Source organism: Homo sapiens, chromosome 12, assembly GCF_000001405.40.
Source record: "Homo sapiens chromosome 12, GRCh38.p14 Primary Assembly".
Lineage (NCBI taxonomy): Eukaryota > Metazoa > Chordata > Mammalia > Primates > Hominidae > Homo > Homo sapiens.
The window spans coordinates 18055479-18059033 of NC_000012.12; positions in this window are offsets into that span (position 1 = coordinate 18055479).

Consider the following 3555-nt stretch of genomic DNA (forward strand, 5'->3'; position numbering starts at 1 on the left):
CTCATGCTGACATGAAAGGCATTTAGAGGTTGGAATATGCTACCAGTACAATTTGTATTCTAGATACAGTGCATGAGACCTATTAACTTTCTATAGTACAAGTAACAAAATATCACTGAAATAAATTGAATGGTATATAAGAAATGATTTGGCCGGGCTTGGTGGCTCACACTTGTAATCTCAGCACTTTGGGAGACCGAGGTGAGTGGATCACGAGGCCAGGAGATGGAGACCATCCTGGCCAACATGGTGAAACCTCGTCTCTACTAAAAATACAAAAATTAGCTGGGTGTGGTGGCGCATGCCTGTAATCTCAGCTACTCGAGAGGCTGAGGCACAGGAATCACTTGAACCCAGTAGGCGGAGGCTGCAGTGAGCCAAGGTCTCACCACTGCACTTCAGCCTGGTGACAGAGTGAGGCTTCGTCTCAAAAAAAAAAAAAAAAAAAAAAAAAAACTTTTATAATTGTATTTTAAAGAAACAATATGGAGTACTGACTTTTATGATAGGTGTTTAGAAATGAAGAGACAAGCAATTTTCAGATGCTTAAAACAAAAACGGAATAATAATAAAAAGGAGGATTAGAAAGGCCAGAAACATATCCACTGGTATGTATTGCTGAAGATCATTTCTCATCCAAGATAAGATGCAGATCTTATACTGCTAAAGGTGGTTTTCAATCGAGCCTCCCTTTGCAAAGCACATTCACTCAGTCTATGTTCATAATTCCAGATGCGCATGCACACACATCTTTTATTTGTAAAATTAGGTAAAGGATTAGGAATTTACATAGAGAGATATTTATTAAGCAGCTGTGATATACAAGATTCTGGGACAGAAGTAGTATATTAAACAAATTCATTTGGTAATTCTTACTAGGTCCTCTGAATCATTTGACTGTGAATATTTTTATATTGTTTACAACTACTGAGGCACAGGCACTTTCTAATACACACTATGCCACCATCTTCCCCATCACCTGTTGTCATATACATAAAGAACGTTTTAGCTCGCCTTGAAATATTTCTTTCTAGGTGTTTATCCCTAACTCCACTCTCTACAACAAAAGCATACACATAATCTCTATATCCTAGAAGATACCTATATCTATTTATTTATTAACTTCTCAGCAAATATTTATTGAGCACCTACTCTATGCTGAGTACTGAGGACATAGTGATGAGCAAGACAGACAATCTCATCCCAAGGCCTTCTAGTTTCTAGTGAAAATGACTGACATACTCCTACAGTTAAGAAATATGATGCTAGGGTGATGTCAGCAAGATGGCAGAATAAAAGGTCCTTATTGTCCCCCGCCCCCCAGCCCTCACAGAATGCCAATTTAACAACTATATACAGACCAGAATACTTCTGTGAGAACCACAGAATACAATTAAGAAGTTGCAGCAGCCCCAGAAATCACTGAACAGAGAATGCCTATGTTGAGATGAATAGGAGTAGTAGTTTGATTTTGTCTATGATGCCTCCTCCCCCGAGTCAGCATAGCTCAGTACCAAGAGAGGTGCTGTTGTTTCTTCATTTCCTCTCTGAAGAAAGGAGAGCACAAGGAGTATAGCCAATGTCATCAGCCTTTTGGGACACTTCCAGAGAGACCTCTTCTTGTCTTGTCTACCCCAGTATACTGAGGAATTTGTCATAGTTGGAACACCCAAGGGCAGCTAAAATGAAGAGGAGGAACAGGTGACTCTCAGCACCCTCTTTGTCTCCAGGAGTTGGCAAAGTCCCCGGCATCTACCCAGCTTCTAGCAGCTGCAGGATTTTCAGCAATCATTAAGATCACCAGCAATTCTCATGGCCTCCAACAGTCAAATGGCTCCCAAGAGCTGGCATGGATTGCAGCTGCTCTGTGCAGATTGCAGCTTTCCACACAGATCACAACTGATAAAAGGCCTGTAGCAAAAGGTGCAGCACCCAGAACCCAGCACAGATTATTGTTGTCTGTGTGGATCACAACAGCTGTGTGGCCCCAGAAACCAGGATGGCACCAGGCACTCTTTGCTGAATAAAGTAGAAGGCATAATTCCTAGGAGAAGGTACAAATCTTGGCAGATGGCACCAATCTTGGCAGACAGTGCAGGTCTGAAAAGCCAGCATGGCTCTGTGGGATTGGGACAAAGAAAACAATTCTGGTACTTTTATTTCACTATGGAAAGAAAATAGTGGAGCTTGCGCCTAATGTCCCAGCATTCCAACGCACAGTCCTTGGGAAAATGCAAGAGTGGCCCTCAATAACCAGCATGGCTCTGTGGGATGGGTAGAAGGTGCAAAATTTTAAGATTTTTTTCCACAAGGAAGGAAATGAGTGTAACATGCGCACATATAAAAAAAAATTGAGGCATTCCCAGAATCTGTAGTAAGGCTAATTAGTGAAGGTCTTTCCCTGCCAAAGCCAGTCTGCAAAGACCAGAAGAGGTGGCTGCTTTTTCACATGAGGAGACATGTAAAGCTACAAGAAACAAGAAAATACAAGGAAATATAATGCTACCAAATGAACAAAATAAATCTGCAGTAACCCTAAAGAAATGGAAAAATCCAAATTACCTGGAAAAAAAATCAGAATAATTGTCATAATATGTCCAGTGAGCTAAAGAAGACAGACAACTGAACAAAAATCAAGAAAAATATATAAAGGAAAAATTAGAATATCAGCAAAGAGATAGGAACCACAAAAAAGAACCAATAGAAATTCTGAAGCTGAAAATACAATGGCAGAACTGCAAAGTCCAATAGAGGCCTTCAAGAGCAGACTCAATGAAATAAAAAAAAAAATCAGCAAAATCAAAGATAGGTTATTCAAAATTATCCAGTCAGTGGAACAAATTGAGTGAAGAAAGCCTATGAGACTTATGGCACATCATCAAGTGAACCAATATATTCATTATGGAAGTCTGAGAAGGAGAATAGAAAGCAAAAAGGACAAAGAGCTTATTTCCAGATATATGATTGACATCTTCATAATTCTGGAAATGGGACATTCAGATTCAGATTCATAAGCCTCCAAAATTCAAATAAGATAAATTAATGGAGTCTATACTGGGTCATAAGATAACTAAATTGTCAAAAGTCAGAGTCTAAGAGAAAATTTTTAAAGAGCAAGATAAAAACACTTTGTCTGGTGCAAGAGAGTCCACCATAAGACTATCGGGAATTTCTCAAGGAAAAACCTTATAGGACGGAATGGAACAGGAAAACATTTAGGAAATTGAAAGAAAAAAAAATTGCTAACCCAGAATTCTGTAACTAGAAAAATTATCTTTTAAAAATGAAAGAGAAGTAAAAATCGTTCCTGGCAAATAAAAACTAAAAGAGTTGGTCACGATCAGACCTGCGTTATAAGAAATGATAGTGAATTTTTTGACTTGAAATGAAAGGACCCTAAATGACAAATAAACATGTATAAAAGTATAAAACTCAATAAAGAAATTTAAAGTAGAGAATGCTGTACATCTGTAATGATGGTATGCACGCCACTATTCATTTTAGTGTAAAAGTAAAAAAGACATTAAGGATAACCATAACTACAAAAAGTGTTAA